The sequence below is a fragment of the Homo sapiens genome, chromosome 20 (assembly GCF_000001405.40).
Source record: "Homo sapiens chromosome 20, GRCh38.p14 Primary Assembly".
In the NCBI taxonomy this organism is placed as follows: domain Eukaryota; kingdom Metazoa; phylum Chordata; class Mammalia; order Primates; family Hominidae; genus Homo; species Homo sapiens.
The window spans coordinates 36,751,454-36,775,088 of record NC_000020.11 but is presented as its reverse complement, the minus strand read 5'-3'; the positions used below and the strand labels follow the sequence as shown (position 1 = coordinate 36,775,088).

Genomic DNA, 23,635 nt, shown 5'->3' with positions numbered 1-23,635 from the left:
GAAAGGACTGTGCACATCCAAGGGGACATTTTGGTGGCGTCGTGCTGGGTGCTGAGGAAGCAGCCCGCTCTCTGGAGCCTCCTAGACCAGCATGGGATAGTGGAGCAGGAACAGATTGGGCTCCTGGGAGCACAGAAAGGACAGTTGGTTTTCAGCCTAAGGCCAGAGAGAATGCTTGGAGAGAAATCAATCATTCCTTAGCTGAGGCTTAAAATTCGAGGATGTGGCCGGGCGCAGTGGCTCATGCCTGTAATCCCAGCTCTTTGGGAGGCCGAAGTGGGTGGATCACTTGAGGTCAGGAGTTCGCGACCAGCCTGGCCAACATTTTTAGTGGCCGTCTCTACTAAAAATACAAAAATTAGCCAGGCGTGGTGGTGGGCGCCTGTAATCCCAGCTACTCGGGAGGCTGAGGCAGGAGAATCGCTTGAACCCGAACCCGGGAGGCGGAGGTTGCCGGGAGCCGAGATCGCGCCACTGCACTCTAGCCTGGGCGACAGAGCGAGACTCCGTCTCAAAATACAAAAAAATTGGAGGATGTAGCTAGGAAAAGCAGGGAAAGCCTTCCCAGGCAGAGGGAACAGCGCCTGGGAATATAGCGCCTCAAAGGGCATCTGATGCCCTGTCCCCGTCCTACCCCTAAGGACCAGCCCGACCTGCCGCACCCCCCGACCCCGACTAAGGACACTGCGACCACTTGGGGGCGCTGCGACCTCCTCCCGGGTGAAATGAAACCCGAGGGCAGGCCCCCACCCACCAAGCAAGTAAAGCAAGCCGTTTGAGGGAGTGGCCTGGAAATGAGAGAGAAAAAGTCCTAGAGCAGGAGTGGGATAGACTGTGAGGCAAACTGAGCTCAGAGCTCCAGTCCACCCTGGGGAGAGTCACGGTCCACATTTTGGGAGTTAAGGAGATAAAGGGAGTGGGAACCAGAGCCTAGCGACGGGGACAGGGCATCAGATGCCCTTTGAGGCGCTGTATTCCTCCGGCAAGAATCTCTCCGGGCCTCTGTTTCCCCCATCTTAGATGGGCTCTGGGGCCGTCGGGCGCAAAAGGACACGATAGTGTGGCGGGTCCCGGAAAGGGACTCCCGGGCGGGGTGTTGCGGGGAGGTGGTGACGTGGCCAGACAGGACCTAAAGGACTTGGACTAGAGGAGCGGAGCTGGCAGGAGCGTTGGACGGCGGTGTACGCATGCGCGTCGGGCGGCGGTGTACGCATGTGCATCGCCGGAGGCAGGCGTTCTGCGCGCGCGTGCCCGAGAAACTGACGGCCGCGCATGCGCCCTTGGTTGGCGGGAGTTTCGGAGGCGGTGACCGTGACGTAGAAGGTGGAGACCGCTTCACCCTGATCAGGGAGTATCGGCTGCGGGTGCGCAAGGCGTCCAGGAGTGACCTGGGGCTGTGGAGAGCGACCCGTGGCCTTGTGTTTCAGGTACGGAGGTTCCGGACTGGACGGGCGTCAGGAAGTCACAGACTTGTCCTCTGATGTGGCCCCGCCCGCCGCCGCACTAATCTCTTCGGCGTCGTACCCGTCGGCCCAGCTCGACCCGCCGCAGCCCCGGCCCCGACCGTGGACACTGGGGGTCCCCGAGGGCGCTGCGACCTCCTCCCGGGTGAAATGAAACCCGAGGGCAGTCCCCCTTACCGACCCCATTAGAGACGTATCTGCCGTGCCAGGGGTCTAGGCTCCAGAAACAGGGGTGAGGACTGGGTAGAGGGCTGGGGTTCGAATTGCCCCTGTGCCCCCAGGCTGGCTGTGTCACAAGCTTGGGCCAGGCTTTTTGCCCCTCTGAACCTCAGTTCCCCTGTCTGCAAAGTGGAGTTAATGGTGCTTACGGAGTTGTGGAAGGGATTAAGTGGAATAACGATGCAAGTAAAGCGCTTACATAGCACAGGTCCTAGCACAGAATAAGCGTTTAACAGTTGACAGTTGTTGCTTTTCTAAGCCTGGATCTGTGTGATACAGTCGTTATTATCCAAGCCTGGATTTGTGTGATATTGTCATAAGGACCGTGGGGGATTCAGATCCTTGACCGAGCCCTCCTTGTTATCTTTTCCTTTTTGTCCCTCTGCATATATTCATATCTTTTTACTTAGCACCCCCCACAGACAGATTTCTGCTGGGAGGGAGGGGACGATGAAGAGATGCCTAGGTGACATCCCTGCCTTCCAGGCAGTTGTTCCTGACAGTCACTAGGAATACAAATACAGCCTGGCTGGGGAGACAGACATGTAAACAGATTTTATAGCCAATGCTACGAAGGCCAAGGGGCATAACCACCAACTCTGCCAAAGATAAGTGATGTGAAAGCTTCATATTTGAGCCAGGTTGGGAAGGATGAATAAGTTTAACAGGTAGAAGGACAGATATGTGCAAAGATTCAGAAGTAGTACAGGGAATAGGACTGGGAGGAGAGAGCAGGAATGGGTAAATTGGGACTAGTTTACCTGAGGTGTTGACTACACTTTGGAAAAGTCCCGGCAACTGTCTGAAGAATAGACTGGGCCGGGTGTGGTGGCTCAGGCCTGTAATCCCAGCACTTTGGGAGGCTGAGGCCGGGCGGATCACCTGAGGTCAAGAGTTCGAGACCAGCCTGGCCAATATGGGGAAACCCCATCGCTACTAAAAATACAAAAATTAGCCAGGTGTGGTGGCAGGCACCTGTAATCCCAGCTACTCAGGAAGCTGAGGCAGGAGAATTGCTTGAACCTGGGAGGTGAAAGTTGCAGTGAGCCGAGACTGCGCCACTGCACTCCAGCCTTGGCGACAGAGTGAGATTCCACCTCAAAAAAAAACAAAAACAAAGAATAGACTGGAGACGGGCCGTTGGAGGTAGAAAAACTAGTGGAGAGACTATTAAGATAGTGGGAGGGACCAGAAATTATGAGACCTGAACTAAACTAGTAACAGTGAGGCTGGGCGTGGTGGCTCACGCCTGTAATCCCAGACTTTGGGAGGCCTAGGCTGGTGGATCACTTGAGGCCAGGAGTTTGAGACCAGCCTGGCCAACATGGGGAAACCCCATCTCTACTAAAAATGCAAAAATTAGCCAGGTATGGTGGTGCATTCCTGTAATCCCAGCTACTCAGGAGGCTGAGGCAGGAGAATCACCTGAACTGGGGAGGAGGAGGTTGCAGTGAGCCAAGATTGTGCTACTGTACTCCAGCCTGGGCAACAGAGCAAGACCCTGTCTCAAAATAATAAATAAACTAGTAACAGTGAGAATGGAGAAAAGATTTAGAGACTGTTTATAAAACAGTTAGGACTTTGGATCTGGAGAACTAAGAATAAGAAGTAATGGATGATGTGGTTTTTCTAGTTTGGAAGACCAGGTAGACCATAATGTCATCAATGGAATTAGGGACTAGTTAAACACAAAGTAACTGGGAAGTAAGGTAGGGTATGTGTTCAGGGAGATTTGAATATTTCTAGCAATAAAGTGTATAGAAATTCAGAAGAGGAGGTGATGGCCCCTGCTGATATTCTCTGTCAGGGAGGTGGATAAGGGTAGCTCAGAGAGGCTGGAAAGCACACGGCCTATTTATTCTGGGGCTGTAAAGCCCCATTGAGACTGCAGTGAAACGTGAAGAACAGATCACTTCCATTTTCCTATTTTCAGAGTTTACCACCTAGGATGACTTCAGTGACTAGATCAGAGATCATAGATGGTAAGTATTGTAGTGAAATTCAGTACCTCTTACCTTGGGTTCAGGCTTCTGAGCTATACCCAAATCTTTCCTGGCTCCTGGTAGATTTGGAATCACATACTCATTATTTGCAGAGATGCTTTCTTTATGTTTCCACGATCTAGGGGCATACATTTACTTTTTCCACTTTTTTGCACAAATAGTTGTGGCGGGCTTGATCTTGTATTTTGACTTTTTTATAACAAATACTAGAAAAAGGACCAGTGATGTCTAAGACTCATGATCATCAATTGGAATCAAGTCTCAGTCCTGTGGAAGTGTTTGCTAAAACATCTGCCTCCCTGGAGATGAATCAAGGCGTTTCAGAGGAAAGAATTCACCTTGGCTCTAGCCCTAAAAAAGGGGGAAATTGTGATCTCAGCCACCAGGAAAGACTTCAGTCGAAGTCCCTTCATTTGTCTCCTCAAGAACAATCTGCCAGTTATCAAGACAGGAGGCAATCCTGGCGGCGAGCAAGTATGAAAGAAACGAACCGGCGGAAGTCGCTGCATCCCATTCACCAGGGCATCACAGGTGGGGTGCTGTGTACACAAGACAGTGAGGTTCCAGCTCAGATAAGAGACAGGTTCCAGCTCAGATAAGAGGCAGTGAGGTATGGCAGAAAGTGTGGGAGAATAGACATGACTTGCTACTTTATAAGTACTGATGTCAAACACCTAGTAAATGTTCAGTATTACTGCTATTTCTTTTTAAGAGACAGGATGTTGCTGTTTTGTCTAGGCTGGACTTGAACTTCTGGGCTCAAGCAATCCTCCCACTTCAGCCTCCCAAGTAGCTGGGACTACAGGCGTGAGCCACTGCACCTGGCTTACTACTTATATTATATTATTAGCTGCCACAAATAAATTTCTAATTGTTCAATACTCACCTCTGCTAGGGTGAGAAACATTAAAGATTTCTTTCTGTGGTTTTCTGTCTCATACCCTAAAGTGGAGCAGAAGATAGTTGGGTTGATACCTGATTTTAGCCTTTATAACTGGAAATACCTCAGAGGGAAGATGCACATACAAATATCTAGAGTGGGCCAGGCACGGTGCCTCATGCCTATAATCCCAGCACTTTGGGAGGCAGGAGGATTGCTTGAGTCCAGGAGTTTGAGGACAACCTAGGCAAGATGGCAAAACCCCATCTCTACAAAAAGTTTTTAAAAAAATAGCAGGGCATGGTGGCACGTACCTGTAGTCCCAGCTACTGGAGAGAGGCTGAGGCAAGAGGATCACTTGGGCCCAGGAATTCAAGAAGGCAGTGAGCTATGATTGCGCCACTCAATCTATCCTGGGTGACAAAGTAAGACCCCTGTCTCTAAAAAACTTTGTCTCTTTTTCCCTATCCCCTCTCTCTTCCCTCCTCCCTCCCTGCACCCCACCCCTCTCCCTTCCCTCTTCCCTCCCTGCACCCCACCCACCCCCGCCTCACTTTCTTTCTCTCTCTGTCTCTCTCTCTCTGTGTGTGTGTGTGTGTGTGTGTGTGTGTGTGTGTGTGTATCTACAGTGAAAAACAGTTTTTAGGGATGCTATACAGAACGTGATTTGTGTCATTTTGTGTGAATTTACAATAGTAACTATATCTTAGCATCAAAGTACAGAACATAACGTGGAAAAGCTTGCATATTTCAGGAAGACTATACTAGCTCTGTGATGTTGAGTAAATTACTTAACCTTCTTTGTCTTAAGGTCCTCATCAGCAACTTGGAGATGAAATAGTACCTATCTTACATAACACAGTACTTGGGACATAGTAAGCCCTGAAATGTTAAGCTACTGTGATTAGTTTTAAGGTATCGTCCTATTTCCAAGTGGTCTGATGCACAGAAGGAAATCTGGGTAAAGATAGGCACTTAGCACATCAGAAAATTGCTGCCACAAGGCCCATGTACTTTAGTCCCTAAATGTGCTGAGAAAACATCAGTGCATCCCAAGATTAGCCCTACCTTTAGCTCTATGCCGGAGTATTTAGACTTAAACAGAAAAGCATCAGTGTAATAAGATTGGTTCTTGCCTGGTTATTTCTGGCAACCTGTCAGGTTTCCTTGGTTATAGGCAGAAAGTATCCTGTTTTTCTTGACTAACAGCAGTGACAATTAAGAGACAAGAACTTTAAAAACACAACCAGCTGAAGCTAGAGGGCAAAAAGACATGTAGCTCTCATAATTCACAAAGCAAAATTCCTTTGCTATGTAGTAATTGTTTACAAGTGGACATAATTTTAAAAAACGGTATCTACATCTTGCGATTGGTTAGGGATTCAGTTGCATAATTATGTAAAATGCTCACCCAATTCAGTCTAATAACTCACTCTATGACCTTGGGCAAGTGACCTATTACTTTGTGCCTGTGTCATTATCTGTTATCTGAATGGAATTCATAGGATACTTGCCTCAAGGTTTAATGAAATACGTATATAGCATTTCATAAAATGCTTTTTATATAGCAAGTGTTCAACAAATGTTAGTTATTAATGCTATTATGAGGTCATTATAGAGAGGCAGTGTGGTAATAGAGGGAAAAACACAGATATCGGTGAGAGACTTGGGTTTGAATTCTGGCTCCACCGATTTCCAGTTTCTGGCCTCAAGCAAGTCATTTCCCCTCAGAGCTGCAGTTTTCCCATTTGTAAAATGGAACTTTATAATAGTACTCTTCTTATAGTATACAGTACAGAGTGTTTAAAGCACATTGCAGTGCCTGTCCTATAAAAAAGCTCAGATGTGGCCAGGCACAGTGGCTCCCACCTGTAATCCCAGCACTTTGGAAGGCCAAGGCAGGCAGATCACTTGAGGCCAGGAGTTCAAGACCAGCCTGGCCAACATGGGGAAACCCTGTCTCTACTAAAAATACAAAAAATTACCTGGGTGTGGTGGCGCATGCCTGTAATCTCAGCTACTGCAACCTCTTGGCTCACTGCAGCCTCCGCCTCCTGAGCCCTTTTGATTCTCATGCCTCAGCCTCTGGAGTAGCTGGGATTACAGGCGCATGCCACCACTCCTGGCTAATTTTTCTGTTTTTAGTAGAGACGGGATTTCACCATGTTGTCCAGACTAGTCTCCAGCTCGTGGTCTCAAGTGATCCCATGCCTCGGCCCCAGAGTGTTGGGACTATAGGCATGAGCATCGTACCTGCCCAATACAAAGATTCTTATAACTTTTTTTTTTTTAAGTTTAGATGAACAAATGGGTAAACTTCATTCCTCAGTGATCCTGCAAAAATTAGAATTCTGTCTTTAACTAAAGAAGGCTGTTCTTGCCTTAAGTTGGATTTATCAAGAGGGAGGACATTTTTCAGTTTTGTTAGTTGCTAACTATGTAACTATCCAGCTCCTTAAATGTGGCTATGTTTTATGTTAGAGCTCAGCCGGTCTATCAGTGTCGATTTAGCAGAAAGCAAACGGCTTGGCTGTCTCCTGCTTTCCAGTTTCCAGGTAAGGTTCTTATAACTAGGAAATGTTTTTGTGTTTGTTAACTGCTATTGTGACAATCTTTTGTTTTTAGATGGAGCCTGACTCTGTCACCCAGGCTGGAGTGCAGTGGTATGATCTTGACTCACTGCAACCTCCGCCTCCCAGGTTCAAGTGATTCTCCTGCCTCAGCCTCCCGAGTAGCTGAGACTACAGGCACATGCCACCACGCCCCGCTAATTTTTGTACTTTTAGTAGAGACAGGGTTTCACCATGTCTGCCAGAATTGTCTCGATCTCCTGACCTCCTGATCCGCCTGCCTCGGCCTCCCAAAGTGCTGGGATTACAGGCATGAGCCACCGCATCCAGCCCTTAATTTTTTGCATTTTAGTTGAGACGGGGTTTCACCATGTTGCCCAGGCTGGTCTTGAATGCCTGAGCTCAGGCAGTCCACCCACCTTGGCCTCCCAAAGTGCTAGGATTACAGGTGTGAGCCACCGTGCCCAGCCTTTTTTTAAGGTGTATTGTGTATTATGTGGCTACCAGGTGCTTACATCAATTTAGATAAGCAGGTAATTTGTGTGAATTAAATAACCTTTTTTTTTTCCTGAACCGAAAGTCAAAATCTGTAGTCCAAGCAACAAAAAGTCTTTTGTTTTTTCTTTGTTTGTTTTTTGTTGTTTTTTTGAGACGGAGTCTTGCTCTGTCACCAGGCTGGAGTGCAGTGGCACAATCTCGGCTCACTGCAACCTCCGCCTCCCAGGTTCAAGCGATTCTACCGCCTCAGCCTCCCGAGTAGCTGGGACTACAGGCACGCGCCACCATGCCCCGCTAATTTTTTTTGTATTTTTAGTAGAGATGGGGTTTCACCATGTTGGCCAGGATGGTCTCCATCTCCTGACCTTATTATCCGCCTGTCTCAGCCTCCCAAAGTGCTGGGATTACAGACGTAAGCCACTGTGCCTGGTCAACAAAGAGTTTTTTTTTTTTCCCTTATCTATTTATTTGTTTCTGTGAAAAGTCTTATGTGTAAAAATTACATCATATTTAGTATTTAGTTTCATATTTATTAAACATCATAAAATGACATAAATTTAGGACTGGCCTGGAAGTTTTTGGTGGTTGTACTAAAAATGCTTTTCTTTATTTAGTTCTCTATTCAGAAACTTGAACCTTTCCTAAGGGACACTAAGGGCTTCAGTCTTGAAAGTTTTAGAGCCAAAGGTAAGTTGCTAACAGATGAGTGAGCTTTGACCCTGGGCAGTCAAAGCTTTGCTCACAGCATCCCCATTTACAGAAGCTGCTCCCTTATAAAACTAGCTCCCCCACCTTTTGTTTTTTAGACAGAGTCTCACTCTTGCCCAGACTGGAGTGCAGTAGGGTGATCTTGGCTCACTGCAGCCTCTGCCTCCTGGGTTCAACCAATTCTCCTGCCTGAGCCCCCCGAGTAGCTGGGAGCCACCACACCTGGCTAATTTTTGTATTTTTAGTAGGGAAGAGGTTTCACCATGTTGGCCAGGCTGATCTTGAACTCCTGACCTCAGTGATCTGCCCACCTTGGCCTCCCAAAGTGCTGGGATTACAGGCATGAGCCACTGTGCCCAGCCCCCTACTTTTTTTAAATTGCAAGAATACATGCTTATGAAGCTAAGGAAGTGTGAAAGTGGAAAATAATCTTCCCTTCCATTCTGGCCCCCAGTCTAAGTTCCTCTCCCCAAAGGTAGCTATGGCCACCAGTTTCTTGTGTATCCTTGCAGAAATATTTATTGCTTTTTTTTTCTTTTTTTTTTTTTTTTTTGAGATGGAGTCGCGGCTCTGTCACCCAGGCTGGAATACAGTGGCACAGTCTTGGCTCACTGCATCCTCTGCCTCCTGGGTTCAAGCGATTCTCCTGCCTCAGCCTCCTGAGTAGCTGGGATTACAGACACCCACCACCACGCTCAGCTAATTTTTTGTATACTTAGTAGAGACGGGGTTTCGCCATGTTGGCCAGGCTGGTTTCTAATTCCTGACCTTAGGTGATCCGCCCGCCTTGGCCTCCTAAAGTGCTGGGATTACAGGTACAAGCCACTGTGCCCGGCCTGGATTTAACTAGTTCTTTACTAATAGGCTTTAAGTGTTGTTTTTTGTTTTTTTTTTTTTTTTTAGTCTTTTGCTACTACAGTAAATAATGTAATGAATTTTTTTTTTTTTTTGAGACAGACTCTCGCTCTGTCGCCCAGGCTGGAGTGTAGTGGCGGGATCTCGGCTCACTGCAAGCTCCGCCTCCCGGGTTCATGCCATTCTCCTGCCTCAGCCTCCCGAATAGCTGGGACTACAGGCGTCGGCCACTGCGCCCGGCTAATTTTTTGTATTTTTTGTAGAGCCGGGGTTTCACCATGGTCTCGATCTCCTGACCTCATGATCCGCCTGCCTCCGCCTTCCAAAGTGCTAGGATTACAGGCGTGAGCCACCTTGTTGCCCAGGCTGGAGTGCAGTGGTGCAATCTTGGCTCACTGCAACCTCTGCCTCCCAGGCTCAAGCAATTCTCCTGCCTCAGCCTCCCTAGTAGCTGGGATTTCAGGCATGTGCCACCACGCCGGGCTAATTTTGTATTTTTAGTAGAGACGGGGTTTCTCCATGTTGGTCAGGCTGGTCTCGAACTCCCGACCTCAGGTGATCCGCCCACCTTGGCCTCCCAAAGTGCTGGGATTACAGGCATGAGCCACTGCATCTGGCCTTTTTTTTTTTTTTTTTTTTTTTTTTAACACAAGCCTTTTGGCACGTATGCAAGTAAAAAGAAGATAAATTCTTAGAATTGGAATTAACTAGTTCAAATGAAATTATGGGAATTACCAGATTGCTTCCCAGACAAGTGGTATCAATTTATTCTCTCACCAGCAATACATGTAGGGACTTGTTTTCTTACACTCTCACCAATAAAAAAGCCTTTTAGATTTTCTTACTATATGATAGGTGATAGAAGATATTTTGTAGTTTTAATCTGTGTTCCTTTTTCTTTTGAAGAAGATAAGCATTTTTTCTTTTTTCATATTTTTAGAGCCATTTGTACTTTCTTTCTTTTTTTTTTTTTGAGATGGAGTCTCACTCTGTCTCCTAGGGTGGAGTACAGTGGTGCGATCTTGGCTCACTGCAACCTCCACCTCCTGGGTTCAAGCGAGTCTTCTGCCTCAGCCTCTGGAGTAGCTGGGATTACAGGCATGCACCACCATGCCTGGCTAATTTTGTATTTCTAGTAGAGACAGGGTTTCGCCATGTTGGCCAGGCTGGTCTCAAACTCTTGACCTCAGGTGATTCACCCACCTCAGCTTCCCAAAGTGTTGGGATTATAGGCGCGAGCCACCATGGCTCAGCCTCATGTTCGTTTTTAAAACTTAGGATGGTGGCTCTTTTACATTGATTGGTAGGAACTCTTCATATTACGAGGCAGTTAGCTAGTTGTCTGTGAAATAAAATACTAATGATTGAACTTTCTAGGAAGTACCTATTCTGCTAATAGTGTAAATATACACTTATCCAGGGTCAGAAATACTCAAGTTTACCCACTTAAAAGATCTAGAAAATACATGAACTTGGGCTTACTTGCCAGTTAAAATTGTTTATCTCAGAATTGTACCATCACCTTAATTAAAGTAGATATGCTAGGATTATCCTGATAACTAATTAACATAGCCTTTCCCCTTAGTGTTCTTCACCTGAATGTAGTAGTGGACTCTTCAAGTCTAGCAGAGGCCTGTTTTTAACCTTACGCCCATAATTTTTTTTTTTTTTTGAGACAGGATCTCGCTCTGTTGCCCAGGCTGGAGTACACTGGCATGATCACAGTTAACTGTAGCCTTGATCTCCTAGGCTCAAGCATTTCTCCTTCCTCAGCCTCCCAAGTAGCTGGAACTATAGGCATGTGCCACCACACCCAGCTAACTTTCTAAAAAAAATTTTTTTGTAGACATGGGGTCTTGCTGTGTTGCTCAGGCTGGTCTTGAACTCCTGGGCTCAAGTGAAACTCTCACCTCAGCATCCCAAAGTTCTGGGATTATAGCAGTGAGGCACTATGCCTGGCCTTTTTGGTTTTCTGTCTTTCTTTTTTTTTTTTTTTTTTTTTTTTTTGAGACAGAGTTTTGCTCTGTTGCCAGGCTGGAGTGCAGTGGTGCAATCTCGGCTCACTGCAACCTCCGCCTCCCAGGTTCAAGTGATTCTCCTGCCTCAGCCTCCTGAGTAGCTGGGACAACAGGCATGCGCAACCACGCCCAGCTAATTTTTGTATTTTTAGTAGAGATGGGGTTTCACCATGTTGGCCAGGATGGTGTTGATCTCTTGACCTCGTGATCTGCCCGCCTTGGCCTCCCAAAGTGCTGGGATTATAGGCATGAGCCACTGCGCCCAGCCTGGTTTTCTTTTTTTCTAATAAAGAGATGGGGTTTCACTATGTTGCTCAAGCTGTGCTGGGCTCAAGCAATCCTCCTAAGTAGCTGGAACTACAAGCACTATGCCCGGCTATGCCCATAATTTTTTATTTGCCTCCGTGTTTCTTATTACCCTCTTGCCTATTGCCTGACTTCTTTTTTTTTTTTTTTTTTTTTTTCTTTTTTTGAGACAGAGTCTCATTCTTGCCCGGGCTGGTGTGCAGTGGCACCGTCTCAGCTCACTGCAACCTCTGCCTCTCAGGTTCAAGCGATTCCCCTGCCTCAGCCTCCCGAGTAGCCGGGATTACAGGCGTGTACCACCACGCCCAGGTATATTTTTGTATTTTTAGTAGAGACAGGGTTTCATCATGTTGGCCTGGCTGGTCTCAAACTCCTGACCTCAAGTGATATGCCTGCCTTGGCCTCCCAAAGTGCTGGGATTGCAGGTGTGAGCCACCCCGCCCAGCCTCAGATATACCTTTTAAACTGCTTTTTCACAGTTCATTTATAGAAACATTTATCATAAATGTCATAAAGGCTGGGCACAGTGGCTTACGCCTACAATCCCAGGACTTTGGGAAGCTGAGGCAGGCGAATCGCTGGAGCCAAGGAACTGGAGACCAGCCTAGACAACATGGTAAAACCCCATTTCCACAGAAAATACAAAATTTAGCTGGGCATGGTGGTGCTGCCTATATTCCCAGCAAATAGGGAGGCTGAGGCGGGGGTTATATTGCTTGAGCCCAGGAGGTGGAGGTTGCAGTGAGCTGAGATCACACCACTGCACTCCAGCCTAGGTGACGGAGCGAGAGTCTGTCTAAATAAATAGATAAAAATGAGTTGTCTTTCATTTTATCTATACCTACCAGAAAAAAAAGATAAAATCTTTCTACATACTTAACTCCACACTTTTGGGTGGGCTTGAGGACCAACATGTAACAGTACCTAGAGCTGAGACTACCTTAATATACCTTTGTCAGCATCTCACTATGAAAACGTATATTTCCTTTATTTTATGACACGTAAATTTGTGCTGTCTAGCATCTTCTCTTTCTGAAGAATTGAAACATTTTGCAGACGGACTGGAAACTGATGGAACTCTACAAAAATGTTTTGAAGATTCAAATGGGTAAGAGCAGTTCCCCTTCTGTCCTAAATTATGATTGAATTAGGACTTTAGGCCGGGCGTTGGTGGCTCAGGCCTGTAATCCCAGCACTTTGGGAGGCCGAGGTGGGCGGATTACGAGGTCAGGAGATCAAGGCCATCCTGGCTAACACGGTGAAACCCCATCTCTACTAAAAATAAAAATAAAAAATTAGCCAGGCGTGGTGGCAGGCGCCTGTAGTCCCAACTACTCGGGAGGCTGAGGCAGGAGAATGGCATGAACCCGGTATGCGGAGCTTGCAATGAGCCAAGATCGCGCCCCTGCACTCCAGCCTGGGTGACAGAGAGAGACTCTGTCTCACAAAAAAAAAAAAAAAAAAAAAAGAATTAGGACTTTTGTTGTAATTAGATAGTTGTTCATTCACCAACAAACATTTATTCAGCATCTTCTCTTTTTATTTATTTATTTATTTTTTGATTCGGAGTCTTGCTCTGTACCCCAGGCTGGAGTGCAATGGTGCAATCTTGGCTTACTGCAACCTCCATCTCCCGGGTTCAAACCAGTCTCCTGCCTCAGCCTCCCAGGTAGCTGGGACTACAGGCATGCGCCACCATGCCTGGCTAATTTTTTTGTATTTTTAGTAGGGATGGGGGAGATGGGGGTTTCACCATGCTGGCCAGGCTGGTCTCGAGCTCCTGACCTCAAGTAATTCGCCCTACTTAGCCTCCCAAAGTGCTGAGATTATAGGTGTGAGCCATCCTGCCTGTTCTTATTTTTTGTATTTTTCTAGAGATGAAGTTTCACCATGTTGGCCAGGTTGGTCTTGAACTCCTAACCTCAGGTGATCTGCCTGCCTCAGCCTCCCAAAGTGCTGGGATTACAGGCATGAGCCACCGCGCCGGCCTATTTTTAATTTTAAAGGCGGGGTCTCCCTATGTTACTGAGGCCTTTAGAACTCCTGGGCTCAAGCGATCCTCCTGCCTCTGCCTCCCAAAGTGCTGGGATTACAGCCATGAGCCCCCACACCCAGCGGATTCAGCGTCTTATGTACCAGGCTCTTTTAGATGCTGGTGATATAATGACAAGTGAAGCAAGGTCTCTTTTGTCATACATTATAATAGAAGACACAATAAACAAATATATGGGAAATAATGACTCAGCGATAATCTAGGTCAGTAAATATAATCATGACTTGAGGGGGTGGGCAACTTTAGCTGGAGTGTTCAGAGACCTCTAATGATTTGACCTTGGGCTTGAAACCTGTAAGATATGAATGGTGAGAAGGAACCAGCCATGAAAAGATGAGGGGAAAAACATAATTCACATCTTTGCTACCTTGCCAAGAGCCAAAGAACATGGCTCTTGAATATTAGCAGAAATTTAAAACTACCCCCAAAACTGGTACTTCCTCTGTAGGGGTGAGACTAACATCCTTAACACCCTAATTTCCACCCAGCAACAAGTCACTTCACTTGGGCTTACATCATGAACTTTAGGTTTTGACTTCACAAAGGTCTTTAGGATTGACATTGCTAGACAGGAAATGAAAAACATTTTAGTTTAAAGTAGCATCTCTTTTTTTGTTTGTTTTTTGAGATGGAATTTTGCTCTCGTCACCCAGGCTGGAGTGTAATGGCGCAATCTCTACTCACTGCAACCTCTGCCTCCCAAGTTCAAGTGATTCTCCTGCCTCAGCCTAACCCGAGTAGCTAGGATTACAGGCACCTGCCACCACGCCCAACTAATTTTTGTATTTTTAGTAGAGGCAGGGTTTCACCGTATTGTCTAGACTGGTCTCGAACTCCTAACCTCAGGTGATCCACCCTTCCTGGCCTCCCAAAGTGCTAGGATTAGAGGCGTGAACCACCACACCGGGCCTATTTTTAATGCAGTATATTTTAGCACAGGCTAGTGTTTCTTAGCCAGAGGTGGTAATGGCTGTGTGTCTCAGGCTTTTCTAGAAAAAAACCTGAATGGTGGCACAAATAATTTGTTTTTGCGAGGTAGAATACCAAGTACATATAAAATATTTTGGCATTTTCAGGCCTGCTTCTTTTTCATAAGAATTAATTACCCCACTCATTTAAGCCATTGGGTAACAGTAGGAATCAAAGTTGGTAAGCTGGACGGTACCAGAACACAGAGAGCCTTAAGTGCCAGGTTAAGGAGTTTTGACTTTTCTTCTGTATGCAGTAGAGAGTCACAGAGTTGTTTTTTTGTTTTTGTTTTTGTTTTTTTTTGAGGCAGAGTCTCGCTCTGTTGGCCAGGCTGGAGTGCAGTGGCACGATCTCAGCTCACTGCAACCTCCACCTCCTGGGCTCAAGCAATTCTCCTGCCTCAGCCTCCCTAGTAGCTGGGATTACAGGTGTGTGCCACCATGCCTGGCTAATTTTTGTATTTTTAGTAGAGACGGGGTTTCACCATGTTGGCCAGGCTGGTCTTCAACTCCTGACCTCAGGTAATCCGCCTGCCTCGGTCTCCTAGACTGCTGGGATTACGGTCGTGAGCCACCACGCCTGGCTGAGAGTCACAGAGTTTTTAAGCAACGAGAAAAAGAAATTAGAGAAATATTTTAAGAAAGGTTAATCTGGCCATGATGTGAATTGGAATTGATAAGAGAAACAGAATATAAAGAGACCACTTAGAAAGCTATTACCTAGCTATTTATTACCTACAGCTTAGAAAGCTATTACCTAGTGCAAGCCCGGCACAGTGGCTCATGCTTGTAATCCCAGCAGTTTGGGAGGCCGAGGCGGGCGGATCACGAGGTCAGGAGATCGAAACCATCCTGGCTAACACAGTGAAACCCCGTCTCTACTAAAAATACAAAAAATCAGCCGGGTGTGGTGGCGGGCGCCTGTAGTCCCAGCTACTCGGGAGGCTGAGGCAGGAGAATGGCATAAACCTAGGAGGTGAAGCTTGCAGTGAGCCAAGATTGCGCCACTGCACTCCAGCCTGGGTGACAGAGTGAGACTCCATCTCAAAAAAAAAGAAAGTTATTACCTAGTGGAAAAGTGAAATAGAGTCCAACATTAAGTATTTTTTGAAAGACAAAAATTATGTAAGGGATTCTGGGCATGGTGGCTCCCACCTGTAATCTGAGCATTTTGGGAGACCAAGGTGGGAGGATCACTTGAGCCCAGGAGTTTGAGACCTGGGCAACATGGCGAGACTCCATCTCTACTAAAAGTAAATAAATAAAAGGCTGGGTGTGGTGGCTCACGCCTGTAATCCCAGCACTTTGGGAGGCTGAGGTGGATGGATCATGAGGTCAGGAGTTTGAGACCAGCCTGGCCAACATAGTGAAACCCCGTCTCTACTAAAAATACAAAAATTAGCTAGGGATGGTCATGGGCACTTGTAGTCCCGGCTACTCTGGAGGCTGAGGCAGGAAAATCACTTGAACCCGGGAGGCAGAGGTTGCAGCAAGCCGAGATTATGCCACTGTACTCCAGCCTGGGTGACAAAGCGAGACTCCGTCTCAAAAATAAATAAATAGCTGGGTGCTGTTGCTCATGCCTGTAATCCCAGCACTTTGGGAGGTTGAGGCGGGCGGATCACCTGAGGTCGGGAGTTTGAGACCAGCCTGACCAACATGGAGAAACCCCACCTCTACTGAAAATACAAAATTAGCCGGGCGTGGTGGCACATGCCTATAATTCCAGCTACTCTGGAGGCTAAGGCAGGAGAATCTGTTGAACCAGGGAGGCAGAGGTTGCAGAGAGCCAAGATTGTGCCATTGCACTCCAGCCTGGGCAACAAGAGGGAAACTCCGTCTGAAATAAATAAATAACTAATTTATAAGCGATTATATTAAAGCAAATATTTCTTGAAAGATTTATGTCATAATCCTATCTGTTTTCCAGAAAAGCATCAGATTTTTCTTTGGAAGCATCTGTGGCTGAGATGAAGGAATACATAACAAAGTAAGTTAACCTTTGTTAGAAAATCTAAATTCGTTCTCCCATCTGGGGAAATTAACTAACTTGGAAAAAATGAATAGTAAGCATTGTATTTGGAGAGTCAGCATTAGTGCATCAATACTAGAAGTTAGAAGGCTGCATATTGAGATTTTTATGGACTCTACTAATGATCAATTTCATAGAATGGAGTCTAGAGAATACAAATATTAATTTGACTTGAAGAACTCAGGTTTGATATGATTAAATATTCTCTGAATTGGTCAGGCTTTCTAACCCTGTAATGACCTGTCAACTCACATTTTACATCCAGATTGTACACCTCACATACTTATTGTTACTGTGAGTGATTCAGAATAAGATTATAAAAATTAACTGAACTTTTTTTCCTGATTCTTACAGGTTTTCTTTAGAACGTCAGACTTGGGATCAGCTCTTGCTTCACTACCAGCAGGAGGCTAAAGAGATATTGTCCAGGTTAGATCTATGAACTGTAAAAACTCTTTAAAAATCTTATGGAGTTTGATTGGTGTTTATTTCAGTTCTGTTAGCACAAATTGAAAGATGAATCCTTTCTCACGGGCCAATAAGCTCATCAAATTCTGTAGTGTGTATTAGCACTCTCTGACCAGAAACGGGAAGTGAGTGAGAGGAAGGAAGAGTTGGTGTCACTATTTTCAGTCCAAGAACACAATTGTTTCTGTTCTGTGTCCTTGGCTAACATTTCATATCCTGGGGGAGACAGACACATCTCTGCATTGTATCTGGCAGCCTGGGGTTGGGCCAAGAACAGTAACCAAGGGGCTTCAGTGAGCACATGGCCTATGAGCTGCAGGTTTGGGGGATGCCCTTGGCCAGGGCCTTCTTGGAGACAGAAAGACATGAAAGTGGGTGATGAGGAAGATTGAGGAAAGAGAGGATCTTTGGGTCTTGAAGGTAGAGGAAAAGTAGGAAAGTGCTAGGTGTTGTTTTGTTTTGTTTTGTTTTGTTTTGGAGACAGACTCTCGCTCTGTTGCCAAGGCTGGAGTGCATGGCGCCATCTGAGCTCACTCTGCCTCCCGGGTTCAAGCAATTTTCCTGCCTCAGCCTCCTGAGTAGCTGGGACTACAGGTGTCTGCCATGATGCGTGGCTAATTTTTGTATTTTTAGTAGAGACAGGATTTCACCATGTTGGCCAGGCTGGGCTGGGTGTTTTTTTGTTGTTTTTTTGTTTGTTTTTTTGCTCTGTCGCCCAGGCTGGAATGCAGTGGCACGATCTCGGCTCACTGCAGCCTCCAACTCCCTAGTTCAGGCGATTCTCCTGCCTCAGCCTCCCGAGTAGCTGGGATTACAGGCATGCTCCACCACACCCCACTAATTTTTGTATTTTTAGTAGAGACAGGGTTTTGCCATGTTGGCCAGGCTGGTCGTGAACTCCTGGCCTCAAGTGATCTGCCCATCTTGGCCTCCCAATGTGTTGAGATTACAGGTGTAAGCCACAGCACCTGGCCAGAAAATGCTAGATTTTGATTTAGTTGAACATTTAAACCATGGTTTTAAGCTTTTTTTTGAGATAGAATCAGCTAGAATCCCAACTACAAAATGTTAGTCAAAACCCTAATTACAAAAGTGGCCTCTCAGTAGAGAGGGGCTTTGAGGAGCATGGTTTGAAAAATTTCCCCAATCCAGGTAATGATGGTTATCAGTTACTTTATTCACCCCTTACATACTGTATTTATGAAGATAGATAATGTGTAAGATGCTAGTTTCAGATAAAATCTTTTGTGGCAAAGCTTGTAGGTTAAGAGGAATGGTTCTGGAAGCAGACTGTCTGTTCAGACTCTAACTGTTCCTTAGTTTTGTGACCTTGGGCAAGTCACTTAGTCTTGAATGAGCCTGAGGTTCCTCATTTGAAAATGGGGATGATATTAGTACCTTCCTCATTGGGTTATTGTGTCAAATTAGGTTAAATGTAAAGTGCCCAGTAATATCTGGCATATACTTAGCACTCAGTAAATTGTAGTAGTTGTTGTTATTAAAGTTGTTGTTCATCAGTTTTCATGAACTCTCAGTCCTGTTCAGTTATTTTAGATAATTGAAGTAGGCCAGCATGTTTTGGTAAACAATTATAGACACTGACTTTAGGATAGTAAGCTTTGGCTTCACTCTCTCCCAAGTATAGTCCTTCTGGTATATGGACCTTACTATTAAGTGGATTCAACTGACTGGAAGCTTCCAGCATTTCCTGGAGTCCGGAGGTATAAAGACATGAATACTAGACAATTGTTTCAGAACTTCTTGTTAAGGCCAGGCGCGGTGGCTCACGCCTGTAATTCCAGCACTTTGGGAGGCCGAAGCGGGCAGATCACAAGTTCAGGAGTTCGAGACCAGCCTGGCCAACATGGTGAAACCTCGTCTCTACTAAAAATACAAAAAATTAGCTGGGCATGGTGGCAGGTGCCTGAAATCCCAGCTACTCAGGAGGCTGAGGCAGGAAAATTGCTTGAACCCGGGAGGCAGAGGTTGCAGTGAGCCGAGACCTGAGACCGCACCACTGCACTCCATCCTGGGCAACAGAGTGAGACTCCATCTCAAAAACAAACAAACAAACAAAAAAAAACCTTTCTGTTAAGAAGTGAGCCTATAGCTAGCGTAGAGTGGAGGAATACTGATTCAGCTTTATAGGATAATCTTTGGTATCTCTTCCAGAAAATAATTACAGAATCTCTCAAAAGCTCTTGTGTTTTGTTTTTAGAGGATCAACTGAGGCCAAAATTACTGAGGTCAAAGTGGAACCTATGACATATCTTGGGTCTTCTCAGAATGAAGTTCTTAATACAAAACCTGACTACCAGAAAATATTACAGAACCAGAGCAAAGTCTTTGACTGTATGGAGTTGGTGGTAAGTGGGCTCATGTTTATTTAGTTGAGTTATCCAGCTTTGCCACCTTGTAATCCTTGGAAATTAAAAGACCTGGAGAAATGTATAAGTGTAAGTTGAATATGTATATTCAACTCTACCTTAGGAAAACATGGAGAGACAATTAAAAAATAATAAACAAATGAATATATAGTGGTAAATGCTGATGAAGCAGGGTAAGAGAGACAGACAGTATAGGGAGGTTGGTGGGTTGCTATTTTATATAGCAAGGTTATTGAAGGCTCCTCTGAGGTGCCATTTCAACAGACTTGAAGGAAATGAGCCATGAGGACGTTTGAGGGAGTAGTGTTGTGTCAAACCAGGTATTAATAGCAAGCAGATGGCATTTGAAAGGACAATTCAAGGAGAGTTTATTTTCAGAAAGGCTAAATAGAAAGGTATGGGTATTGGAGAACCACAAGGGTTAGTGGAGTAACCTGGGGCTTATAGGCAGTAGAGCTCTTACTCCTCCTAGGACTCAAAGGGAGGAGGGAGTAGCAGTTACTGTGGCATCTAATGGGAGAAAGTCACATGGTTAGCTGAGTTGAGCCAACTCAAGATGACTCGTTCAGCTCCTTCCCACTTAGGCATCCTGTTGGTAGAGGTTACATGGGTCAGCCTCCTGGAGCATAGAGCAGCCTGGAGAAGAATGTGGTGTGACTTTGGAGGAACAAACAGAATTATCTGGCATAAGCATTCCAGGCTGAAAGAACAGCAAGCCCAGAGCTCCTGAGCAAGAGCTTGCTTGTCAGGTTTGAGGAACATCCAAGAAGCCATGGACCTTTACAGCTCACAGCTGTCTTTTTTCTACAGATGGATGAACTGCAAGGATCAGTGAAACAGCTGCAGGCCTTTATGGATGAAAGTACCCAGTGCTTCCAGAAGGTGTCAGTACAGCTCGGTAAGCTTGTCTCTTGAGGGGACCAGAGTTCAGGCTGTTTTCCATGATAGCCTTTGGGATACAAACTGCCCTTCAAAGCCTATGGTCCAAGAGGGTAAGACCTATATGAGGTGATTTGTTTTTCTCCCCACAATAAATAGTATGTTATGGGTACTCAGAGTTGATAGGAAATTTCTAGATGTAAATTCTACAGAAGCACAGTAGACTGAGAATTAAATCCCCATGAAATATGTTGTTGTTTTGGTAAATCCAAGACTTAAGAAATACCCACCCATTGCTTTTTCCCTCTTCATTTCTCAAGAATTCACTAAGTGACACTGACATTACTCCTCCCTAGCTTTTCCTGACCTCCTTCCAGCCCTAAATTATTGGCTATACATACCTTCATTTTCTTTCTTCTTCTACTTTTTTTTTGGGCTGGGGGGGCAAAGTCTCTCGCTTTGTCATCCAGGTTGGAGTGAATGGCACAATGACTGCACAGCTCACTGCAGCCTCAACCTGATAGGCTCAAGCAGTCCTTTCACCTCAGGCTCCCAGAGTAGCTGGGACTAAAAGCATGCACCACCACCACCACACCCAGCTAAATTTTTAATTTTTTTGTAGAGATGGGGTCCCCCTGTTTGTCCAGGCTGGTCTTCAACTCCTGGGCTCAAGTGATCATCCTGCCTCAGCCTCCCAAAGTGCTGGGATTACAAGTGTGAGCCACTGCACCTGACCATCTTGTTTTTTTGGGTTTTTTTGTTTGTTTTTTTTTTTGAGACGGAGTTTCACTCTTGTTGCCCAGGCTAGAGTGCAATGGTGCGATCTCGGCTCACTGCAACCTCTGCTTCCCGGGTTCAAGGGATTCTTCTGCCTCAGCCTCCCGAGTAGCTGGGATTACAGGCATGCTCCACCATGCCCGGCTAATTTTATATTTTTAGTAGAGACGGGGTTTCTCCATGTTGGTCAGGCTGGTCTCGAACTCCTGACTTCAGGTGATCCACCTGCCTTGGCCTCCCAAAGTGCTGGGATTACAGGCATGAGCCACTGCTCCCAGCCTCCATCTTCTTATTGATCACATTGTATTGTGATTGTAGTGGTGGCTGGCTTTCTTTCTTTCTTTCTTTTTCTTTTTTTTTTTTTTTTTTGAGACAGTCTCGCTCTGTTGCCCAGGCTAGAGTGCAGTGGCATGATCTTGGCTCACTGCAACCTCTGCCTCTGGAGTTCAAGATATTCTCCCACCTCAGCTGCCTGAGTAGCTGGGATTACAGGCATGTGCCACCATGCCTGGCTAATTTTTGTATTTTTAGTAGAGATGGGGTTTCACCATGTTGGTCAGGCTGGTCTTGAACTTCTGACCGCAAGTGATCTGCCCATGTTGGCTTTCCAAAGTGTTGGGATTACAGGGATTACAGGCATGAGCCACCCTTTTTTTTTTTTTTTTTAGACAGGGTCTTGCTCTGTTGCCCAGGGTGGAATACAGGGGCGCAGTCATGACTCATTGCAGCCTCAACTTTCTGGGCTCCCAGGTGATCCTCTTGCCTCCCATGTAGTTGGAGGATCGTGCTAGGACCATGCTAGGCTAATTGTTTTTTTTTTTTTTGTAGAGACAAGGTCTTACTGTGTTGCCCAGGCTAGTCTCAAACTCCTGGGCTCAAGGAATCGTCCCGCCTTGGTCTCCCAAAGTGCTGGGATTACAGGCGTGAGCCACCATGCCCAGCTGTGGCTGGCATTCTTACCAAATTGTCATCTCCTTGAGGCCAGAGACTCTCTTATTTGTCTTTGTAATGCCCTTCCATGTGTGTCACAATGTCCCTACATTAAGTTTTCAATAAATGTTACGTTATTTCAATTGAAATTTATTTTTTGGCCTCTTTTCTCTGCAGGAAAGAGAAGCATGCAACAATTAGATCCCTCACCAGCTCGAAAACTGTTGAAGCTTCAGCTACAGAACCCACCTGCCATACATGGATCTGGATCTGGATCTTGTCAGTGACTTTATGAGAGTTTCTGCCACAAGGTGCCCAAGAGGAGAGGAATGGGAAGAGTGCCCCAGCACGTGGTGACTGCGTGATTTCTGCTCGTTGCCTTTGAAGATAACTGGCAGGACTGACTGTAGAACACTTTGACTTTTTTCAAAAAGTGATGGAATTTGTACATCCAAATGAATATTGTATAGACAATTTTCCCAGGAATGTGCAAAATGCTTGAAAGTTCAAACTTCTTTTTTGAAATGATCTTCAGATCCAGTGGCCCATTCTTTTATCTTTATCCTGTGAAGGTGTTTTTCAGGTTTTGAAACAATCCAAAAATCATTTAGGACCAAGTCTAAGGAAACATTTTAGTGGCCAAGTTGGATTCCGATTGTAAAGGAATGATACTAATTTTCTAGCATGGCTCTGAAGGTGATTTTAGGTAGAAGAGTTTTGAGGCTGGGCGCAATGGCTCACGCCTGTAATCCTAGCATTTTGGGTGACTGAGGCGGGTGGATTGCTTGAGCCCAGAAGTTGAAGACCAGCCTGAGAAATAAGGTGAAACCCTGTCTACAAAAAATACAAAAAGTTAGCTGGGTGTGGTGGCGTGTGCCTGTAGTGCTAGCTACTCAGAAGGCTGAGGTGGGAGGATTGTTTGAGCCCAGGAGGTTGAGGCTGCAGTGAGTTCTAATTGCGCCACTGCACTCCAGCCTGAGCGACAGAGTGAGACACTGTCTTAAAAAAAATTAAAAATTGTAAAAAAATGAAAAAAAAAGTTTTGAGCATTATTTGCATCATTGGGATACATATGTCACTTCACAAGATGTTCAATTTGAAGGAAATACCACTCATTCTCTATGTCCTGTTGTCTGTAGTGTGCTTCAGTTTTTCATATTGAGTTGACCTAAATCCTGGATTCATGACAAGAAAGGAGTAAGTACTACTATTCATTGTTCTATTTGTTTATAATCTGTATTATAAAATTGCACATAATTAAAAGCTTTCCCTTGTCTTCATCTATGTTTTGAGTGTATAAACAAAAAGGGAGTGCCGGGTGCGGTGGCTCACACCTATAATCCCAGCACTTTGGGAGGCCAAGGCGGGCAGATTGCCTGAGCTCAGGAGTTCACGACCAGCTTGGGAAACATGGTGAAACCCTGTCTCTACTAAAAATACAAAAAATTAGCCGGGCGTGGCGGTGTGCACTTGTAGTTCCAGATAGGAGGGTGAGGCAGGAGAATTGCTTGAACCCGGGAGGCGGAGGTTGCAGTGAGCCGAGATCGTGCCCTTGTACTCCAGCCTGGGCGACAGAGTGAGACTGTCTCAAAAAAAAAAAAGAGGGAGGGCTGGGCATGGT

General features: G+C 45.7%; 1 protein-coding gene across 9 annotated transcripts, besides 8 other annotated features; it reads left to right on the top strand.

The window, feature by feature from the left end:
* Positions 475-1,021: an enhancer, noted in NCBI's record as "H3K27ac-H3K4me1 hESC enhancer chr20:35402471-35403017 (GRCh37/hg19 assembly coordinates)". NCBI's record gives its function as "activates a minimal SCP1, AML or CMV promoter by ChIP-STARR-seq in naive H9 embryonic stem cells {active_cell/tissue: H9 hESC(naive)}" and the evidence as "EXISTENCE:reporter gene assay evidence [ECO:0000049][PMID:30033119]".
* Positions 981-1,060: an enhancer, noted in NCBI's record as "active region_17818". NCBI's record gives its function as "activates an Ori minimal core promoter by ATAC-STARR-seq in GM12878 lymphoblastoid cells {active_cell/tissue: GM12878}" and the evidence as "EXISTENCE:reporter gene assay evidence [ECO:0000049][PMID:35858748]".
* Positions 981-1,567: a biological region, named in NCBI's record as "H3K27ac hESC enhancer GRCh37_chr20:35401925-35402470".
* Positions 1,022-1,567: an enhancer, noted in NCBI's record as "H3K27ac hESC enhancer chr20:35401925-35402470 (GRCh37/hg19 assembly coordinates)". NCBI's record gives its function as "activates a minimal SCP1, AML or CMV promoter by ChIP-STARR-seq in naive H9 embryonic stem cells {active_cell/tissue: H9 hESC(naive)}" and the evidence as "EXISTENCE:reporter gene assay evidence [ECO:0000049][PMID:30033119]".
* Positions 1,071-1,210: an enhancer, noted in NCBI's record as "active region_17817". NCBI's record gives its function as "activates an Ori minimal core promoter by ATAC-STARR-seq in GM12878 lymphoblastoid cells {active_cell/tissue: GM12878}" and the evidence as "EXISTENCE:reporter gene assay evidence [ECO:0000049][PMID:35858748]".
* Positions 1,326-23,294, top strand: DSN1 (DSN1 component of MIS12 kinetochore complex). Of its 9 annotated transcripts, none has more exons than XM_017028070.2 (11): positions 1,326-1,427; positions 3,616-3,664; positions 3,896-4,216; positions 7,047-7,120; positions 8,248-8,320; positions 12,577-12,628; positions 16,472-16,531; positions 16,928-17,002; positions 19,260-19,407; positions 20,239-20,326; positions 22,192-23,294. In XM_017028070.2, the coding sequence occupies exons 2-11, from the start codon at positions 3,631-3,633 to the stop codon at positions 22,299-22,301; spliced, it is 1,035 nt and encodes a 344-aa protein (XP_016883559.1). In that variant the 5' UTR covers positions 1,326-1,427; positions 3,616-3,630; the 3' UTR covers positions 22,302-23,294. The 9 variants fall into 9 exon arrangements, with proteins under 9 accessions (XP_016883559.1, NP_001138787.1, NP_079194.3 ...); NM_001145315.2 differs by having other exon boundaries at positions 12,541-12,628; NM_024918.4 differs by having other exon boundaries at positions 1,326-1,608; positions 12,541-12,628.
* Positions 1,341-1,400: an enhancer, noted in NCBI's record as "active region_17816". NCBI's record gives its function as "activates an Ori minimal core promoter by ATAC-STARR-seq in GM12878 lymphoblastoid cells {active_cell/tissue: GM12878}" and the evidence as "EXISTENCE:reporter gene assay evidence [ECO:0000049][PMID:35858748]".
* Positions 4,078-4,243: a silencer, noted in NCBI's record as "fragment chr20:35399249-35399414 (GRCh37/hg19 assembly coordinates)". NCBI's record gives its function as "represses an EF-1alpha promoter that drives an FKBP-Casp9 reporter gene in an ReSE screen in K562 erythroleukemia cells {active_cell/tissue: K562}" and the evidence as "EXISTENCE:reporter gene assay evidence [ECO:0000049][PMID:32094911]".
* Positions 9,020-9,519: an enhancer, noted in NCBI's record as "H3K4me1 hESC enhancer chr20:35393973-35394472 (GRCh37/hg19 assembly coordinates)". NCBI's record gives its function as "activates a minimal SCP1, AML or CMV promoter by ChIP-STARR-seq in primed H9 embryonic stem cells {active_cell/tissue: H9 hESC(primed)}" and the evidence as "EXISTENCE:reporter gene assay evidence [ECO:0000049][PMID:30033119]".
* Positions 23,295-23,635: the final 341 nt, after the last annotated feature.

Bases quoted from the DNA above. Each gene is read 5' to 3' on its own strand.
- DSN1 (NM_001145315.2), top strand. From the start codon at position 3,631: ATGACTTCAGTGACTAGATCAGAGATCATAGATG. The intron at 7,121-8,247 runs GTAAGGTTCTTA...TTCTTTATTTAG, and splicing joins TCCTGCTTTCCAGTTTCCAG to TTCTCTATTCAGAAACTTGA. The intron at 20,327-22,191 runs GTAAGCTTGTCT...TTTTCTCTGCAG, and splicing joins GAAGGTGTCAGTACAGCTCG to GAAAGAGAAGCATGCAACAA.